Here is a 21,400-nt window from a genome sequence, read left to right as displayed (position 1 = left end):
CATTAACACAGGCTGGGAGGAAGAAACGGGATACGCGCGAAGATTTCCCACGTTTGGAGCGAATGCCCTAGAATTCCTCGGGATTTACACCTCCCCGTCTACCAGGAAGGAGAAATGCGAGCTGTTCTCATTCACTGCCTGCTTTTAGTTCTCTGTTCGCACTGCCAGGGCTAATTTTGGCCGCGGCGCAACATTTGGGTTACAGATGTTAGGGGGCCGCGCCTAGGGGGAAGCGGGACTCTGAGCTCTGCCAGCCCCGGCCAGAAAGTTTGGTACTAAGGCGCTGGGCACGCTCCCAGGACAAAGTGCGGGTTCCCCAAAAGAGGAAGGTCGGGCGGCACTTAGGGTTTTCTGTCTTGTTTGCAGACACAAGTTCATCTGCACCTCGTGCAAAGCAGCCCTGAAAGCTCAGGCTTGAAGACAAAATGTGGAGCCCAGGCTCCTTCGATTGAAAACCTCTCTACGAGGACACTCTCCGCAGTGGGCGGCCAGAAAGGATTTCGGATCAAGATCCGCAGAGTGGTGAGCATCTCCCAGGGTCCGGGGCTGAACTGACTGCAGGCTGGTAGCCCTTCGGCCCGGAGGAGAATCTCCTTTCTGCAGAAACTACCCCTGGAAAACAAAACCGAGCGAAAAGAAGGGCAATGCGGGTCTGCGCGGAAGGGAGCTCCCTTCCCGGGGAAGGAGGCGCCTCGCGGTGGCACACTCGCCGGCGGGATGTAGGTAGGGGCAGACTAGGGTGAGAAGGGGGACTTGCGGAACACGGGTCTCCCGCGGGTCCGAGGGACAGGGTGCAGGCGCATTCCAGGCACCTAGGGCAGTCCAGTCTGCTCTGCGGAGCGGGAGCCGGCCCCAGGCTCTCCACATCTCCCAGGAATCCAGAAGCTCGACTGCGGGACAGTTGTGTCGATGGGGACCCCCCCAGCTGGATTTTCATTCCACTTGCTCCCTTGATCGAGTGCTCACGCCCGGCAGGAGCTGGCTGTGCGCCGCCCCGGGTGGGTGGAGGTGCGTGGGGCTCGGGCCTTGGCTCGCTTGGGTGTGTCCCAGTCTTTTTCCTCCAGAATTAAAGGCCTCTGCAGGGCGCAGAGCCCCTCTCCCCCTCTCCTAACTCTCCTCCCCACCTCGCCGCGGCCTAAGCTAAGATGAGGTGAGCTTCCAGGGCTGTGTCCCTAGGAGGCCCCGAGCACTTTTCCTCCGAGGGTCGAAGAAATCAGGTCCCCTCTCTTTCCCCAGCGCCCTCTGAGGAAGCCGCGAACCTCTGAGCGAGCGTGGTTTTACTGGGGATTCCTAGCGACCTGCCCTGTGCCCAGCGACGCCCCAAGGGGAGAGGAGCTCTGTGGAGGGGCGGTGTGGGGGTGGGTGTCTACACTACATCCTCTGGCTCGGAGCAGGACCCGGTGATGCGCCCTGGCCGAGCTCCTGTCTCCTAGGAATGCGGGTGCCTCGGGCCCTGTCGGGACCCTTGGTTCGACCGGAGGGCCCGGGAGTGGGAGCCTGGATCCAACAGGCACCCGGATCCAGGAGTCAGACTCCTTGGTTCCGAACGTTTCTTCCGGAGCGAAAGCTTGCTCCCCCTTCCCCCAAGTCCCTCGCGGGCTGGGAGGTGAAGGGAGCGACAGAAGCCGGGCCTCCTCCGCAGCGCCCAACGCCCCGGGCTCTCCGGGTCCCGGGACGTGGCTCGGGTGCGTGGAGGGACGGCTGGGGGCGCAGATTTGTGAATGAACCTCGGAGCTCTTTGCAGCTCACAGATCAGAGGCTGCGATCGCCCCACCGACGTGGTCCAATGAGCCGCCGCAATAAGCTCTGAGCGACGAAACGGAGGCACGGCCTGGACTCTGCGGCACCGCGCTGCGCAGGGCCGGACGGGGGAGGGGCTGAGCCACTGCAGCAACTTCAAAGCCTGTGTCGGGGCTCAGCAATGGGTGGGCTCTCCCCGGGCCGCACGGTTCTCAAGGGCCTCCCCCGACCCCCACCGCCACCCCGTCGGAACGCCCAGAGGCGTTCCCAGCCCAAGTGATGGAGACTCTGACTCCCAGTTGTCTCCGCGCCCTCCGCTTGCGCGTCCTTGGCGTCTCCCCCGGGACCCGGGGGGCGATCACATTCTGAGACCTAATCCGGTTACTTCCGGGCGTGGGTCTCCACCGCCTCCCGGGCTGGCTGGACTCGCTTCCTAAGTAGCTGTCTCATTCACCATTCGCCGCCAGCTCCCCTTTCAAAATTCAAGTCTTCGGCTGCCTCCCTGTCGCTCTCCGCTCTCCGCTCTCCGCTCTCCGTGCGAGGGGAGGGGAGGGGGAGGAAGGAGCGGACACCCATGTGTGCCCGGGAGGGGCCCGCACCGCCTCCCCGCTCCCTCAGCAGAGGCCCTGGGCCCCCTCTTCAGAGGGAAATCGGTGAGCAGACACTAAGTGACGCGAGCCCCGGCCCCTTCCCCGCCGGGGGATCTCCGTGCGTTCCAGAAGCGCACCTGGAAGCAATTCTCCTCGCGTAACCGTCGCCTCCTAAGCATCTCCAGCATCTTCACATCTCCTAAACATCTGCACAATTCTGCGCTGTTTTCTGGAGGACCTCGGAGACGGGGAGGGGACGATGGGGTGCCGTGGGGGCAGGGAAGGAGAGAGGTCAGGGGTTACGCAGGATTACGGCTCGGCTCGGTGACCCTTCTCATCCTCCGTGGCCCAGGGAGGGGATCTGTAGCGAGGGCTCCAGACCTCTTTTGCAAAACCGAACTCTGGGGGAGGGCTTGCGTCCCATGAAGCACGGGGAAGGTCTAAATGACGAACACCCACGAGCGGCCGGGAGCGGAAGATGGCAGGATCGACGGGCCCGGGAGGGAAGATGGGCGTGCGTCTCCAGTGACCATGGCACGAGGCGGCGTCCTGCTCCGCACCACGCTACAACCCAACCAGGCCTCCGCCCCTCCGCGCTTGAACAGGGCGGGTCCACCCGGGCGGCGAGCTCGAGCTCAGCGCAGCCTCAGCCCGGCGCCTCCCTCCCGCTTGCTGGGGAAGAGGTGGGAAACCCTCTCCGCCGCGCCCTGGCTCCCACCGCAGGCCTCCGAGAATAAACTCTCTCAGGGAGACTGAACTGTCCCCACCCTCTGTCCCAGCCTCAAGAGGGACTTCCTGAAAATATGGCAGCCAAGAATAGGGTGAAAATGTAAGCCTGAGGTTTCCTTCTCCACCTCCCCCTGCTCCCTGCTCCTTCACCTCCACACTTCCCACCAGCCCAGAGGGGTCCAGCTGTAACCACCACCACCGCCACCTCTACGGTGCTGACGACTGTCACCATTTCCTTCCAGTTCCAGCTGCCTCCTGGATGCCTCCACTGGAAGGCTGACGAGCACCTTCAATTTCACGTGTTCACTTCAGAGCACCCCCGATCCCGCTACCCCTGCTGCCCTGATCTGCGCCTTCCCAGTTTCTCCCAGTCACCCAGCTGGCCACCCCCCAGGAGACATCCCTGATCCCTCATTTTCTCTCTAGAGCCACCTCCTGTCCCTTAGCAAGGCCTGCTGGCTCTGCCTCCACGTCTTTTCCACAGCTCCCCCATACTCCTGCGTCCTCCACCAGCCCCCAAGCCCTTTCCCCCTCCACCTGCAGGGTTGCATGGCCTCCTAACCAGCTCTCCACCTCACACATGTGCCCTGTGGTCCACCGCTCTCCCTACAACAGAGTAAGCTTCAGCTCAGACCTACCCTTGGTCAAAACCAGTGGTTTCCATGTGCATGAGAATTAGACACATCCTTACAATGTCCTTCAAGGCACAATGAAATCCACCAGCCACCTCCCTCACCTGAGGTTCTAAGTCTAGTTTTGCCAGTTCTTGAGCCTCCAAGCCATGGCCACCTCAGGGGAGCTCTTTTCCTTTGGTCCTGACTCTTTGTTCATCTGGTACATTCTTTCTCCATATCTTTGGGCACAGACTGTTCCCCAGAGAAGGGTCACATGATCTAAAATGACTCCCTAATCCAGGTGTGTTCCCCACAGCACTTATGGCTACTTGCAGTTGTAAAGGTGTTGGTGCGTTTATTATTGGTCTCTCATCTAGAACATACCTTCCAGAGGGCAGGGCCTCGTCTTCCTGGCTGTACCCCCAGTCCTGCTAAAGGGACTGGCACACAGTAACATGAAGCCAGTGCTCCCAGACTTTTTGGTCACAGGACTGCTTTATGCTCTTAGAAATTTACTGAGCCCCCCAAAGAGCTTTTGTATATAGCAACGGATAGATTTAGATGTCTATCCGGTGATTTGCGCAGTATGATGAAATGGTAATGTTTTAAATATATTGATTAATTGATTCATTTACAATGACAATAAAAACCCACTTCATGTTTACTTAACATATTTTAATGAACACTTATTCTATTCCCCCAAACAAAAAAAAATTAGTCTGGAGAGTGGTGTACATGTTTGCACCCCTCTTTAATATCTGGCTTAATAGAAGATAGTTGGATTCTCATTTTTGTTTGTGCAATCCATTATTTTGGTTCAAGTATATGAAGAAAATGCAACCTGTCACAGATATGCAGTTGAAAACTGGAGGAGTATTTTATTAGCCTTGGCAGATAATTGTGAACATTTTTCCTTGATATTACCCCCAAATTCAACAAATGGTGGTTTCTTAAAGGTTGGTTGCAATGTGGAATCTGAAACCATGTCAATGAACATTTCATACTCTATTACATTAAAATCCATTTATCTGTCTTGCACTTTGAATGGCTCTTTTGCCCACAAAATATTTCCTTCCTTCCTTCCTTCCTCCTCCCTCCCTCCCTCCCTCCCTCCCTCCCTCCCTCCCTCCCTCCTTCCCCTTTTCCTTCCCCTTCCCCTTCCCTTCCCTTCCCTTTCTTTTTGACAGAGTCTCTCTCTGTCACCCAGGCTAGAGTGCAGTGATACAATCTCTGCTCACTGCAACCTTGCTTCCTGGGTTCAAGTGATTCTCCTGCCTCAGCCTCCCCAGAAGCTGGGATTACAGGTGCATGCCACCACACCCAGTTAATTTTTTGTATTTTTAGTAGAGATGGGGTTTCACCATGTTGGCCAGGCTGGTTTCAAACTCCTGACCTCAAGTAACCCACCTGCCTCAGCCTGCAAAATATTTCATGCCACTGTATATTGGTCATTTGGAAAATATTGGTTCACTGAGTTATGCAGGTCTTCCAAATGTCGAACTATTTCCTTAAACAGTATCACAAAATCACATTTGTTAATATCACCACTAATCTTATTGGAAAACTCTTTAAATTTGGGAGGTTGTCTGACTCATGATGTTGGATACAAGTTTTCAAGAATTTTAATTTTCACTTAAAAACTCACATTTTACCTTTAGTGGTAAATACTACTTTCCTCAACACGACAGGGTAGTTTCATTTATTTTTGCAAAGGTGTCTGTCAAAGACCTAAGTCTCAATAACCATGATTTGTCTGTTGGGTGCCGTTCCATGTAAAATGAGGCTCCATGAAAAAGCGGGCTCAGTCAGCTCATGGCTGTAGCCCGCCCGTCCTTTTCCTCGATGGCCGCTGTTCTTCTGTATGACAGCTCCCCCTTTCTTCACCCAGAATATTGAAAAGACATGTGCTCCAGAGCTGAGCTTTAATAAAACTATTTTTTTTTCACTGTTTCTTCAAGAACATTCTTAAGTAAAACCTGCATTTGAAAAAAAAAAAAAAACCTGTGAGTGTGTGGCTGTGAAGAGCACAATGTCTGCTACCAATGGCCAATAACAACCTTTAATGGCCTTCATCCATGTGGAGCTGGACTCACTGGTTTAACGGCCTTCATCCATGTGGAGCTGGACTCACTGGTTTAACGGCCTTCATCCATGTGGAGCTGGGCTCACTGGTTTAACGGCCTTCATCCCTGTGGAGCTGGGCTCACTGGTTCAACGGCCTTCATCCACGTGGAGCTGGGCTCACTGGTTTAACGGCCTTCATCCCTGTGGAGCTGGACTCACTGGTTCAACGGCCTTCATCCATGTGGAGCTGGACTCACTGGTTTAATGGACTTCATCCATGTGGAGCTGGACTCACTGGTTTAACGGCCTTCATCCATGTGGAGTTGGACTCAGTGGTTTAACGGCCTTCATCCATGTGGAGCTAGACTCACTTTTTTTTTTTTTTTTTGCACATCAATGCTGATGTCTACATGCAACAAAGCTACATAATGACTCACAGTGTAACTGTAAAAAAAAGTTTGGAGGTTGTCTTAGGGAACCCCAGGATCTGCACTAAATGAGATTTCATAAATGAATGAATGACTTTTCCTACACAATCACGTATGGTGGATCCTAGATGTCCACAGTTTCTCATCTAAAGCTCTGGGCCACAGACACGTTTCAGAATTTCTTTGATTTTGGACAGGTCAGGTGGTGCACATATCATGTGCCACCTAACCCCGTGGGGTGTGAGCAGGGCCCTATCTAACACAGTCATAGTTCTGTGGTAAATACAGGAAAAGCTGAACCAGCAGGTAACAGCCACAAGGAGCCTATGTCTGTTCAAGTCAGGTTCTGCTGTCCAAGGAGTTAGGAAGACACCCTCCCATTTTGAAAGCATTTGGATTTTGGAGTTGTAGACCAGGGGTTGTGGGCCTATCTCCTGATCTCCACTCCACAAGGGTACCTCGGGGAACAGACGGCCAAGGTCTCCTGGCGGGTGAAGGAGCTGGGAATGGAGCACCCAGGGCCTGTTGAGCTTCCACTCTGTCATCTCCCCTCCCCTCCCCGCCCCGTGACCTCAACCACATGGCCCTCCTAACACGAAGGCTTCCAAGGCCTTTCCTGCCCGGCCCTGGGATTCCTTTCCCCTTCTCCAGCCTTGTGTCCTCCACACACTCTGAACTGTGGCCATGCAGGGCCACTCTGCGTGGTCCTCTGATATTCCAGCATAATCTCTCTGATCATTCTGGACTCTGGGCCTTGTCTCTCTAGGGCTATAGCACCTATTGGTGCCTCTCAGCTTACCTGACCTCCCTGGGATACACTTCTTTTTTAATTTAGTTTTTAATATTTATGGGTACATAGTAGGTGTATATATTTGTGGGGTGTGAGACGTTTTGATTCAGGAACATGTGCAGTAATTACATCATGGAAGATAAGAGTATCTATTCCTTCAAGCATTTACCCTCTGTGTTACCAACAATCCAATTATACCCTTTTAGTTATTCTTAAATGTACAATGAAATTATTATTGACTATAGTCACTCCTTTGTGCTATCAAATAGTAGATCTTATTCATTCTTTCTAATGACTTTTTTGTACCCATTAGCTATCTCCACTTCCCTATTGCTGAAGGACCACTTTGGATTCCTGAACTCCCAAGGGACTTTCCAGCTTTTGGACTTTCGTTTTTCCAGTATCACTTATGAGGACCCAAGTTCTACCAGGGCTTCTCCTACATTGAAAATGATTATATCTAAGATTCAAACAGAAATTTTGTGTCTTGGCAAATTTGATATCTGGAGGGTGAATATTATTTAGAAAACAACCACCTTCTACTTTCTGCTTCTATGAATTTGATGATTCTAGGAGCCTCATGCGAGTGGCATCTTGTATTATAGTATTTGTCTTTTTGTGTCTGGCTTGTTTCACTCAGCATAATATGCTCAAGGTTCAGCTGCGCTGTGGCCTGTGTCGGGCTTTCCTTCCTTTCTAAGGCTACTATTCCACTGTGTGTATGTAGGCAACACTTGCACACCACATTTTCCGTACCCATCCATCCCTCTGTGAACACTTGGGAGGGATTGGGGACTGCATGGCCCCCAGCCATAGGTGTGCTGAGCACGTAAGATGTACCCAGTGTGGCTGAAGAGTGGAATTTTTAATTTTAATTAACATAAATGTAGATTTACAAATAGATTTTCAATTCAGCTCCTGGGAAACCCCCAAAGATGTCTGAAATAACTTGGGCGTGTGACGCTACCTTTTTACCTGCAAGCTTAATGAACCCTAAATGCAGGTCAAGTATTTGCCATGGAAATGCAATGCCCAAGCTGAGATATGCTAGAGGTGTAAAATGCATGCTGGAATTGGAAGACCTAGTACCAAAAAAAAAAATTGGATGTAAAATGTCTTGTTAATTTGTATATTGATTACTTTTGAAATAATAATATTTTGGATATATTAGGTCAACTAAAATATTACTTAAATTAACTGCACCTGTCTCTGGTGTTCATGTGGCTGCTAAAAAGATTAAAATTGCATTGTGGCTCACGTTTTCTTTCTGTTGGTTGTGCTAGCCTAGAACGGGTCTGAGCTCATAAGGGGAGGGAACAAGGGGAAGAAGAATTTTACAGAGAACAGGGCACTCGGGCGCACTGTCAGGAGTCAGCATAGGATTTGGCTGCCTTGCTTTGTGAGGTGAGGGTATGGTGGGTGGCTTCAGGGAGTGAATGGCTGCCATAACAAAGTACCATACACTGGACAGCTGAAACAACAGGAATTTATTCTCTTGCAGTCTGGAGGCTGGAAGGCCAAGATCAAGGGCTCAGCAGGGTTCTACTCCCTCTGAAGGCTCTGGGGGAGGATCTTCCCTTGTCCCTTCCAGCTTTTGGTGGCTCCGTCAGTCCTGGGCGGTCCTGGGCTCCCAGCTGCATCACTCTAGTCTCTGCCATGTCATCACTGGGTGGCCTCTTCTGTGTGTCTGTGTCTTCTTATGAGGTCACAAGTAGCATCGGATTAGAGCCCACCCTAATAAGCTCATCTAACCTTGATTACATCTGGAAAGATCCTATTTCTAAATAAGGTCACATTCACAGGTATTGGGGATTAGGACTTTAAGTTATCTCTTTGCTCGGCCCCTAACGGAGGTAGGCAGTGTCTGGATTCCAGCACCCTTGTAAGTCTTGCTAAGGACCTCAGCCTTTTTGTGGCACGTTCCTGAAACTCTCTATTCCTGCTTCCTCACATGTGAATTGAGAGAGCATAGCACTTCCCTCACAGGGCTGTAGGGGAGTTAAATGTGCTGTATGCAGAAGGCACATAGACAGTGCCTAGCACACAGTAAGTGCTATAGGAGCCTCGCTTTTTTTTTTTTTTTTTTTTCTTTTTACAAGACGGAGCCTCGGTCTTGTCGCCCAGGCTGGAGTGCAATAGCATGATCTTGGCTCACTGCAACCTCTGCCTCCCGGTTTCAAGCAATTCTCCTGCCTCAGCCTCCTGAGTAGCTGGGATTACAGGCGCCCACCACCCAGCCAATTTTTTTTGTATTTTTAGTGGAGATGGAGTTTCACCATGTTGGCCAGGCTGGTCTCAAACTCCTCACCTCAGGCGATCCACCCACCTCGGCCTCCCTAAGTGCTGGGATTACAGGCATGAGCCACCACGCCCAGCCTGCTTTGCTATTTGTATTGCTATTTCTCCTAAAGGCAGAAGAAAGCCACCCAGAGTTTTCCAGTGGCAGAGAGGTAAGTAGCATGGAGGAAAAATCAGTTTTAAAGCTGCCCTGTCCGATGTTATTGCCACTAGCTCCATGCAACTGTTTACATTTTAACTTATTAAACTTAGTAAAATGGTCAGATCAGCTCCTCATCTCATGAGCCATGTTCTGTGGCCAGAGAGTGCGGCCCTGGGCAGCACAGATGGAGAACAACCCATTGTGGTAGAAAGAAGAGCCTGTAGGCAACTGAGAAGGAGAGGAAGCCACGTGCATAGAGGCATGGGACCCAGGGGAGGGGTCTCAGCTGACAGGGAGGGTGGGGAGAGGGCATAGTGGTAAGCCTCGGCAGTGGCAGAGCCCTGGGAGGGGGGAGGGAGGTGTCCTGGCTGAGCAGTCAGTGGTGAGATGGGGACCCCGAATGAGAACAATGACAGTGCAGGTGGTGGCGATGGTGACGATAATTTCCAACATTTACTGATGGTAGAACAGGCATCACGGGCCAGACTAAGTCCCAAGCCCCTTACAGACAGTATTCCTTGCTCACTTACTCCTTCCACACCCCACGAGAGATGGATTATTTGTATGTCCATGTCTCAGCTGACAAGGCTGAGAAACAACAGGCCATGTAACTTGTCCAGTTCGCAGGGTGAGGAAGTGGTAGGACGTGGATTTGAGCCCAGGTTAAGAGCCCAGCGGTTGAACTCAGGGAGCATCTTCACGTCCTGCAGGGACCTTCTTATTGCCACGATAGTAGGGGCATGCCACTGGCGTTTAGCGGGTAGGGCCCCTTCCCAGACATGTGTGGGACAGCCGTGCAGTGAGGCCTGTCTATGCCTCGACGAATATCCCACTGGACTCTGGATGAAGGGGGCTGATGGCGATGCTCTGAGCTGGTGTGTCGCAGTTACAAAGCACTGTTTGCGTGGTTTTGATCTAGGCTATGAATGCAAGCAACGGGGAATCATGGAATTACTGTGCTGGGCTTTCCTAGAACTTCACCAACGGCTACCTCTCCTTTTGGACAACCCCATCTCCGCCAACAGGACCACTGGGGATTGAGGGGCTAGGAAAGCCCGGATGCCCCTTTCTCTGGTGATTACATCGTCTGGTGCAGATGTGCCTGGGCAATTACATGTGGAAGTATGTGTTACTTTGTTACACATTTATTTTTATGTATTATTTTATTACAAATCACTTTATTTGTCTATTACAATTAACGCAGGCTATTGGTTTTGTAAGAGCATCAGTGCACAGGTGTCCATGTTTTTTATGAGCCACACATTCGGGGAGTGAAGGCTGTGGTTCACTCAACCTCATGACAGCCCCAAGGGGTGCTTATCTGTAGGAGCTCTCCAGAGAAACGGCAGATGGAAGAGCTCCACAGGTGTATGGAGAGGTGTATTTGAAAGCATTGGCTCATGTGGTTATGGGGCTGGTTAATCCAAAATGCCTGCAGCAGACCAGCATGGGGGGCTGAGCTGCCGCCTTCAGGCTGACTTTCTTCTTCTCTGGGAACCCTCAGTTTCTGCTCCTCAGGCTGTCAGCTGATTGGACGAGGCCACCACATCACAGAGGGGATCTCTGTTACTTAAAGTCAGCCGAGTGTGGATGGAATCACATCCACAATGTACCCTCCCAGCAATACCTAGATAAGTGTTGGATGAATCACTGGGTACTGGGTACTGTGTTGCCAAGTCAACACAGAAAACTCATCATTTAGGCTCAAATCAGATCTAAAGTAAGGATATTAAAATGCAGGTTCCCGGGCCCTACCCCAGAACGACTGGGCCTGACTCCCTGGGCATGAGACTTGGAAACCTTCATTTTAACAGATTCCCCAGATGATGGGACCCCAGTAAGGTCTGGAAACGTCTGGTGCTGCGCTTTAGAAGGGTGGTGCAGTTCCCTGCAAACCGGTCACTTCCTTCAAATGCACCTGCCATTGTCAAGCGAGGGTACTGTTGGCAGGGACAACACAGGGGCTGGGTGGTGCTGGCCCTGAGTGGGGAGAGGTCAGAACAAGTACTCAGCAGAGGTGGAAGGAAGTGACCCCAGGCTCTCTGTGTGGTTACAAAGCCTCAAATGTGATGCCCTGGCCTCTCCACGGAGCCAAGCTCACCCGAGGAATAAGTCACCTGACGTGGCCGCTGCTCCTACCACTGGGTCCCATCACTGCAGCCCTCCTGGAGCAGACTGCAGCTGGCCACCACTTGCTGAGAATCTTCGTGCCTACAGGGCCCTGGAAGGGTTTTCTTTGGGGAGAGAGGTGGGAGTAGAGATCGAGGGAGGCATCTGCCGTTTGTTTCTTGCAGAGGTTTCCTCAATCCTAGAGCAATCCACGCCCCAGGTGGGGGCCTTCGGGCTGCTGGGCTCCTCCAGGAGGGAGCAGTCACTTGGAGCCCAAGTTTCACCTGAACTGAGTGGTCCTTTGTGACCAGGAACACTGTCCATCAGACAGTCGCTGCTGCTCCTGCCAGGTCACAAGGGCCGGAGAAAAGCCCATGGTGCCAGCTGCAGGCCCATGGGTCCTGCGGGCGTTTGGCAGAGTCAGTGTTCGTTTTGAGCATTTGGGGCCCGAGCTTCAGAGGAGAGTTCAGCGGGAACAGGATTTGCTGTGCTCCCGCCCACCTAAGGGGGGTTAGCTTTTCTCGGGGTTTACGGTGGCAGTGAGGTGCTCCGGATTGTTTTTTAACATCAGAGGAGATTTATTTACAGAAACCGAGGGTGCCCGTGATGGGGACATGCCAAGTCCTGGGCACCGCCCCTCCTCACACCCTGACTGCTGGTGCCGGGTGCAGTTGACAGATGGTGCTGGGTCCCCTGGATTCCCACAGCTGGACTGCCCAGGCAGGGCCACCCAAGGGACTCCCTGCATGAGGCCCCGCGCCAAAGAGTGACCTGACACCTCCCCCTCCCCTGGGAGCAATCACTGGGCATGGGTAGTGTTTTGGGTGTTTTTTATTTTTCAATTGTGTTTTCCACAAGCAAACTGGCAGTTCCTCCTAACTGACTGGATGTGTGTTGGGGAAAAAAAAGTCCCCACTTCAGCCTGGAGGGCAGAGACAGGACAGCACATTCTCTTCTATCTCCTGGCGAGCCTGTCCTGTGGCCACAGCTGGTCATGCTGCCCCAGACAAAATGAGAAGGTGTCAAGTCCATATTTAGGGCCATTCTTTGCCCCTCCAGTAGCTGGCCCTCCTGGGGCACCACCGCAGCACCCTCACCTCCCTCCACGGTCTCCTTATCTGGCTCACTTGTCTTGTGGCCCAGGATGCCCTTCCTCATCTGATCTAAGAAATGAATCTCAGCCAAGGTCGGATCGCTTGATAAACTCACCTCCCCCACGCCTGGGTCACATGCTCACCAGGAGAAGTTAATAGCTTAGCCCAGAGGACTGATGGCGTGATCAGGCTGATCTTGAAAAGGAGACGGCCAAGGGCTTGTGAATTTAGGGAGCTTGGAAAACCCCTCCAGTGCTGCCCTTGACTGTGAGGGGGTGTCCTTCTTTCCTAGGGGGACAGAGAGGCCCTGAGGTGGGAATGGCCCTGGTGGGATGGCCCTGAGAGTCGGGGGCACAACTCGGAGTGGCCTAGCCTTCCTGTCTCCAGCTCTCTGCCCCTATGCTGCATAAACCCGGCTTCTCCTGGTTCTCCTTTGTCAGAGAAAGACACAGGCACCTGCATGGAAGAGACTGATGTTCAGCTCAGAGGGTGAGAGGAATAAAAAAGGAAGCATTTAATTTGCAAACTTTAGACTCCTCCACCCCGCCGTCAGTCCTCTGGGGCATTACAGGAATGTCAGCCCTTCCTGAAGCCTGGATCCCCCATGGGAGGCAGAAAAGAGACAACTGGAGCTGTGGGTGGGGGGCAAAGCCAATCTGATGACTGGAGAGGGAGGGTGGCCCCTGAGGGAGGGTCCAGAATGCCACCGGCAATGATCCCAATAGGGAAACTGAGGCCTGGACCTTTAATTGCAGATCTTCCATTGTGTTTGCCTCACCATAGGCAAGACTCAGGCTTACACTTAGTAATGTATCTGAGGAATAGATGGGAACCCTGCGCCCAGCCCACTGGAAGGATAAATGACTCCCAGATGGCACTTGCTGCAGGAATCTAAGCCCCCGTGGATGTGGCTGTCACAGCTGACCCAGCACCTTGTTAGCCTCTTCCTCACCCTTCTCCTGTCTCCCGCCTTCCTCACCTGGCCTCAGGTGTCACCACACAGCCCTGGGATGTGGGGGTGCATTTCCTGTTTGCCTAGAGCAGTTGCTTAACTGGAAAAAGGTGCAGGCAGGTGGGGGGCCAGTGCTGGCTCTGGGCTCCTTGGAAGCTGCAGTCCCCGCAGTCCCCTGGAGTCGGCTGTCCTCACCTCTGGACTCCAGGTCTGAATGCTCACCTGTTACTGTGTCCCCCTCTTTTCCTTGTTTAAGGCTTGACTACTCAGGACCCCTGGAGTCATTTCAGGTTCTGCTTTCCTCAAAGTGGAGCCCACAGTAAGATGCTCTAAAACTTCCTGCTCCCCTTCTGAAATGACTTCCCATCTTTTGAGAATTCGTGAAAGCTTTAGCGCTCTGGAAATGTGTGGGTGCTCTGAGTCACCTCTGTTAGTGAGGCAGGAAGCTGGACTCAACTCCAGAGGTGGGGCTCATACACTGGACCCAACTGAGGACTAGCTAAAAGGGATAGGGCAGAAGCAGCTTTCCATAAGCCATACCCACCAGTGTGCCATGCCAGTTTACCATTGCCATGGTAACACCTGGAAGTTACCACCCCTTTCCATGGTGACAACCCAATGACCTGGAAGTTACCAACATTTTCCTAGAAATTTCTGCATAAATTGCCCCTCAATTTGCATATAATTAAAAGTGGGTGTAAAGGTGAGTGCAGCCCTGCCTCTGAGCTGTTGTTCTGGGTGCACTGCCTATGACGTAGCCCTGCTCTGCAAGGAGTGGCCCCTCTGCCTCTGCTGTGCACTGCCGCCCCCATAAAAGCTGCTGCCCAACACCACTGGCTCGTCCTTGAATTCTTGCCTGTGTGAAGCCAAGAACCCTCCTGGGCCAAGCCCCAATTCTGGGACTCACCTGCCCCGCATTATTAGGAACTGTGTCCACTTGGACCCCCAAGTGGTCCCCTCAGTTAATTAAGAGTTCTTCTATGATCAGAAGGAAGCCAGCACAGGGTTGGGATGCGGGCTCTGGGATTGCACCAGGGAGCTGGGCTCTTTCTAGCCCCCCACAGTCCAGCCATCAATCAAACAGACAAACACATTGACAAGAGAGCTTCATGCTGCCAAAAGCTTAAAAAAAGGCAAACAGGGCCGTGTGTCATGGTCAAGAGTGCTGGGTGGGGGCCCTGTAGGTTGGGTGGTCAGGAAAATCCTCCCTGAGGAGCAGACATTTGGGGACGGCCCAGAGGATGGGAAAGACTGAGACCTGGAGGAACACTGAAAGGCTTCATTCCAGCCAGAGAAGGGCAGGTACAGAGGGCTCAGAGGGAACCAGCCTGGGCTGTTGTGGAAAATAAAAAGGCCGAAGGGAGTGGGGTGCAGTGAGGGGGACGGAGTGCCAGAAGGTACGATGGGAAGTATTCTGGGAGCAGGGAAGGGGGGCCCTGCAGGCCCTGGGGTAGAGCTTGAAGTCCAGGGTGGTGGATGGAAGTGCCTGGAGGATTTATCCAAGGGAACTGATTTGCTTATAGGAAGAAGATCATTTTGGCTGCTGTACTGAACATAGGTGGACAGGAGTGGAAGGAGGGAGTCAGTGATGAGTCCTGGTGAGAGAGGATGGTGGGATGGCAGAAGCAGTGAGAAGGGGTGCAGGCAGGGAGCAGGAGCAGGAGTTCGGTCTGACGAGAATGATGGAGGAGAGAAGCTAGCCAGGGAAGAGTGTTTCCAAGATCCCAGTGATGGTGGGAGAGTCTGTGCTGGGGAGGCCCCAGGGGGGCAGGTGAATGGACTGGAGCCTTCCAGAGGGTGAGGGAGGGGGTTGCCCAGCCACAGCTTTGAGCCTAAGAGGGGGCTCTGAGGGAACAGGAGTGGAGCTGAGGTTTTGGAGGTGGTTGCTTTACAGAGTGACTGTGGGCGCAGGTGGCCAAGTGGAATAGACGAACAGTTATTATTGGAGAAGGGGATGTCAAAGAACGAGGTGGCCAGGTGAGTCCTCCATGATCTTCTTTCTTGGCCCATTTCGGCATTTTCTTCCTGCCCCTGGCCAATGATGGGAGGTCTACCAAGGTCCCAGGCAGCCCTTGTTCAGGTCCAGGCCAGACTAAAGCCCAGCATGACCCTGGGGCGTCCAGTGTCATGGGGGAGGCTGGGACATGGGGAGGGGGACAGAGGTAGCTCAGGTGGGCAGGGAGTTGGTGGAATTCAGAGAGGACAAAGACAATAAGGAAATCAGTGCTTGGACCATGGAGGTGACGTTTTCATGTCCACTGCTCAGACCACATCTGAACAGGAAGCTGTATGTGCTCTGAGCCTCTTGTGTTAAGGTGGACAGGGAGGGAGGGACCCTGAAAGCCTGGAGGATGTCCAGAAGGCAGCAAGCAGGAGAGGACAGGGGTCTTAAAATTGGGGCAGAGAAGCTGGGGGAAGGGCAAGGAAAATACAGTCTGGAGAAATATGGACAGCGCTGAGAAGCTAACCTGGGCGGGAGCTGCCTTGCGTGACTGATGGCAGCAGGGCCTGCGTTGATCATGTAAACAGCTTCCTCAGAAACACCCTTCGAGTTCATCTTGAATGACTCTGAATGATTTCTCTGCATTTGGCCTGGGATGGGTGGGTCTAACTTGTTGCTGGGGGTCCATGATTCCTGCCTCCCGACAGCCCCTCTAAGACCTTGGAGAAAATATAGCTCTCTAAGTCAATACTGATTTTTCTGAGGGCCAGGCTGGGGTTTGGGGAGGTTGGTGAGAGAGACAGAAGGGCAGAATCTATGGATTTACAGAATGGATGCTGCCCTTGAACATAGGAGAACCTGTGTTATAGTTCATCATCATCATCATCATCATCATCATCATCATCATCATCATCAGTAGTAGCATCATCAGAGTATTTTAGAGTCTTGCTCTGTTGCCCAAGCTGGAGCGCAGTGGTGCAGTCCTAGCTCACTGCAGCCTCGACCTCCTGGGCTGAAGCCATCCTCCCACCTCAGCCTCCTGAGTAGCTGGGACTACAGGCATGTGCCACAGCTACAGTCATTATTATTTACATCTGGATGGGGGATAGATGAGGATGCTTCAATCAGTGCAGAGATTGCTTCTCATATAGTAGATCATGTTTGAGCTCCTTCCAAAAATACCAAGATACTTTTTAAATTAGAAAGGTTGCCATTGACTTTCTTGTGGAAAATAAACATCCAAAAACTGCCAGAAAACACCTGCAAATTAAGAATGCTGAGCGAAGAGTAGCCCCAGATATTAAACATATTATAAAGCTCCTGTAGTTGACTTTGAATAGACACAAAGGTCGATGGCATAAAATATTGAGTCTAGACATTGACACAGATATATATGGGATTTTGGTTTATGGTAGAAGTGACAATTTGAATCAGCAGGGGAAAAGATGAGTTATTCAATAAATAGCGTTTAAATAACTACCTTTGGTCACTACCTGAAAAAAAAAGCTGGATTTTTTACCTTACTTCTTACAAATAAATTCCAGATGGATTGCAGATTTAAATGTAAAAAGAAAACACAAAATGTCTAGAAATAAGCATGGGGAAAATAGACAAAACACTAACATCGATGTAGGGAAATTTTCTATTTCCTATTTCTCTACAAGACACAAGACCTGAACACCATAAAAGAAAAAAAAAGGTAAATCTGCAACAAAACAGTTATGATTCCCACATAACAAAATAAAGCCAGAACACTAACAACAAACCAGGAGAAACACTTGCCACCCGAAGAGTCCTGCCGGGCCACTGTTTGGTGCCAGCCAGGCCTACACTGCATTGTCTGGGAGTCCTCTGCAGGTGCTTCTTTTTGACAGTGATTCTAAATATTTGAAATGTCAGGTCATTTGGAGTCTAATCTGCTGAATAACTTGGGGGCTCTAGTTGCTGATACTATGTGTGTAAAAACAAAACAAAATGAAGCAAGGAACCATCATATAGAAGAAAACACCATTTGCGGGTGTGGAGTTCATCCCCAGGAGGCGTATTCTGTACCAGAAGACGTCCCTGAACATACTCATTGCATACACACTCACGCATTTTTTAAGGCCACTTCACTATTTAGGTCTCGCATCATTTATTGAAGGCCTCATTAAGCGAATGCATGCAGCTCTGTATATTTTGTGTGTGTTAGGCCATTGTTGCATTGCTATAAAGAAATACCTGAGGCCGGGCGTGGTGGTTCACGCCTGTAATCCCAGCACTTTGGGAGGCCGAGATGGGCAGATCATGAGGTTGGGAGTTTGAGACCAGCCTGGTGAACGTGGTGAAACCCCATCTCTACTAAAGATGCAAGAAATTAGCCGGGCATGGTGGCACATGCCTGCAATCCCAGCTACTCAGGAGGCTGAGGCAGGAGAACCACTTGAACCTGGGAGGTGGAGGTTGCAGTGAACTGAGATTGCACCACTGCACTCCAGCCTAGGTGACAGAGCAAGACTCTGTCAAAAAAAAAAAAAAAAAAAAAGAGAAATACCTGAGATTGGGTAATTTATAAGAAAAGAGGTTTAATTGGCTCAGGGATCTGCAGGCTGTACAGGAAGCATAGTGGCATCTGATCCTGGGAAGGCCTCAGGCAGCTTCCAGTCATGGTGGAAGGTGGAGGGGGTGCAGGCACGTCTTACATGGCCAGACGAGGAGCAAGAGAGAGAGAGAGGGGGGAGGTGCCACACACACAACCAGATCTCCTCTGAACTCAGAGCAAACTCACTTAACACCAAGGGGATGGCCCAAGCCATTCGTAAGGGATCCACCCCCATAATCCAAACACCTCCTACCAGGCCCCACCTCCAACACTGGGGGTTACAATTCAACATGAGACTTGGGTGGGGACACAGATCCAAACTATGTCACTGTGTGTGCATATATATAGTACATGATATGATTTATGCATAGTGTCATTGATGGCACCGTTAATAATACTCCCACAGTATCTTCATTTTTGGAAGCATAATACCATATTACTTGGCTAAGTTCCTTGTAGTGGCCTATCTGGAGCATCCCATTTTCCCACTGCAACACTAGAGAAAGGCTCATGGATAAAAGAACTTATTTAGATGCACCTTCTCTCCCCCAAAGAAAAGGTTTCTACGCCCAATCAAAGTCTCCTCTCTCACCTCTCAATCCTCCCTCTGATTTTAAAAAAAAAAAACTTTTGATTTTGTAATAGTTTTAAATAAGCAGAAAAGCTGTGAAGACAGTGCAGAGTGCTCCTGGACCCCTGGACCCCTGTGTCTAGTTTCTCCACATTATCACCTTACCTCGCATGGCACAGGTGCCACAGCAAATGAGTCACTGCATGACTTAAAACACCCAACGTGCAACATGGACGAGACTCATAAACGCGAAGAAGAAGAAGCATCAGGCACAACGTGGTGCAGAGTGCATGACTCTGTGTATATAAAGGTAAAAAACAGACAAAACTAGACCATGACGTTGGAAGCCACCTTGGTTATCTTTGGAGGTGGTGCTGCCTACATGGGTGTGCTTAGTTTGTGAAAACTCACCATGCCACACACTCAGATTGTGCACTTTTCTGTAGGATCGTTCTACTTCAATAAAAAGCAAGTCTTCCTACCCAAAACATATGGGGGAAAGCAAGTTCCCAAGGTGACATGCAGCTAGGTCTGGGAACCACCAGACACCAGACCGAGTAACCTTACCCAGTCCCTCAGAGCCCAGGAGCCTCAGACAGCCATGCAGTGCTGTGGTCTCATCAGGAGACCAGATGATGACAGAATTATAGTCAAACTGCCTCTTCCTGAGCTCTGTGACACATCCACTAATGTAGCTGGCTCAGATCGTCAGGGCTGTTAAGGATCTCCTGAACAGATGTCAGGAAAATGGGGGCATTTATGTGTTTGTAGATGCTTGGCTCTGGCATACATTTTACCCAGATAGATCCCTTGTGAAATTTTAACTCCCTCCCTTCCTTCTCTCCTTCTTTCTCCCTCCCTTCCCATCTCCCTGTCTCCCTCGCTCTTCCCCTCCTTCCTTCCCTGCTGTGCTTCCTTCTTTCTTTCTTTCACGGTACCTATGCATTCAATGTCTCTTTGACCCTTTTGGCCGGGACTACGTGGGCTCTGAGTGCTGAGGCAGGGCTGGGAGCCTGCCTTTCAGAGTAATCCCTGGAGAATGCCATGGTCAGAGGCTGCGCCACATGTAGACAAAGGCCCTGTATGGTCCCTGTATGACCAACATGGTCACGGAGTGGCGTCGGGTCCACCTTCTCACTGCGGCTCCTCTTCCTTCCTGCTCTTGTCTCTGCTGGTCTCGCTCCTCCTTGCGTGCCGCTGCTTCTTGGGACACCAGACTGGAGAGAGGCCTCAGAAAGGAGCTTCCTGACCCAGCTCACACCCTCTCACACGCCCTTCCACGTGGCAGGAGCGCCTTTGACCTACATATTTATTCTACACAAGATGTTCCCGGACCCCTGATTGTCATCTACCTAGGATGACTCCCAAATAATAGAATCTTAAAGCTCCTCTAACATGGCCCTCACACTGGCTGCCACCCAGCGGCTGCATGCTGGGGAGACTTTAGAATGCCTCTGGGATGCCTGGGTCCTGGACACAGGACTTTCCATTTAAGTGAGAAAACCACTGGCCTCATCAGTCCCCCCCTTCCATTAGCTTCTCCCTCAACGAACCTCCAAGGATGGTGCACTGACCCACACGGAGTGCCTGCGGGTGGTGGGGCTGACCGGGAACACACTCCTGTTGCCTTCCGCCCCTCCAGGGAGATCCCCGAGTGCTCAGGACAAGACTTGGTGGCAACGTCTCCCTCTCCACAAAGCCTTTGTGAGCCGTCTCTACTAATCCAAGCGGCCTGGGTCCCCCACACGGTTCCTTTCTGTTTCCTCCTCTGGTTGTCCTGGGCTCAGGCATGGGGCGGAACTTAGAAATAACACAGGATCTGCCTACACATTCGTGCAGATAACAGCCACCCCCTGCTATTTGCGGATGAGCACTCTTTCTTTTTTTTCTTTTTTTATTATTATACTTTAAGTTCTAGGGTACATGTGCACAATGTGCAGGTTTGTTACATACGTACACATGTGCCATGTTGGTGTGCTGCACCCATTAACTCATCATTTACATTAGGTATGTCTCCTAATGCTATCCCTCCCCCAGCCCCCCACCCCACGACAGGCCCCGGTGTGTGATGTTCCCCAGCGGATGAGCACTCTTTCCCCATCCCTTATTCGCTTCTAATTTGCTCCCGACACTCACACTGTCAGGCAGGTTTTCTGACTTTCCATTTGCAGACCAAAAAGCTGCAGGGCAAGAGATGAGTGAGGAGAGCTGAGCCTTGAACCTGGCTGCCACCCGTGCGGGGTCCTTGTCCCCTCCACAGCCTTCCTGTGCGGGTCTGGGCACCTGGGCTACATCCTCAAAGGCAGGGGGAGCAGCACATATTCCCTCTGTACCCCCTTCGCTTCCCACCTCCCAACACCACATTACTGAGTCCATGATCTGTGTACCACAAATGCTTACTGAATGTTTGGACACGTTTTCAAACTGCTCCCAACAGCCGAGTTTTAAGAAACAGCTGCTTATGCTAAGAAGGAAGGTTCTCATTTCCTCCCATCCTCCCGTACCCCTGCCCTCCTCTCTTCCGCAACATCATTTTCAAGGAGAAAACCTTTCTACTAGGGAGGCTCCTGCTGGCTGGGCCCTGGGGGCAGCGTCTCTCTCAGGGTCCCTGGGTGGATAAGATAAAGAGACCGTGAAGCTACTGCTGTGTGGCCTGAACACTGGACCCCTTTCCCCCAGGTCCTCAGGCAAGATGGTTTTATGGCTCTTGCACAGATCTCTGGGAGACAGAAGAGACAGGTGTGCCACACTAGCAG

General features: G+C 51.6%; 1 long non-coding RNA gene across 1 annotated transcript in view, besides 1 other annotated feature; it reads left to right on the top strand.

The window, feature by feature from the left end:
- Positions 1 to 21,400, top strand: part of EN2-DT (EN2 divergent transcript) — a 35,913-nt gene that overhangs the window by 5,430 nt on the left and 9,083 nt on the right. The window contains exon 2 of the long non-coding RNA NR_186580.1: positions 367 to 522. This is a non-coding gene — a long non-coding RNA (EN2 divergent transcript). The remainder of the gene's footprint in view (positions 1 to 366; positions 523 to 21,400) is intronic.
- Positions 10,942 to 11,157: a silencer, noted in NCBI's record as "fragment chr7:155233227-155233442 (GRCh37/hg19 assembly coordinates)". NCBI's record gives its function as "represses an EF-1alpha promoter that drives an FKBP-Casp9 reporter gene in an ReSE screen in HepG2 liver carcinoma cells {active_cell/tissue: HepG2}" and the evidence as "EXISTENCE:reporter gene assay evidence [ECO:0000049][PMID:32094911]".

Source organism: Homo sapiens, chromosome 7, assembly GCF_000001405.40.
Source record: "Homo sapiens chromosome 7, GRCh38.p14 Primary Assembly".
NCBI lineage: Eukaryota > Metazoa > Chordata > Mammalia > Primates > Hominidae > Homo > Homo sapiens.
The sequence above is the reverse complement of the archived record's forward strand: the minus strand, read 5'-3'. Positions and strand labels throughout refer to the sequence as shown.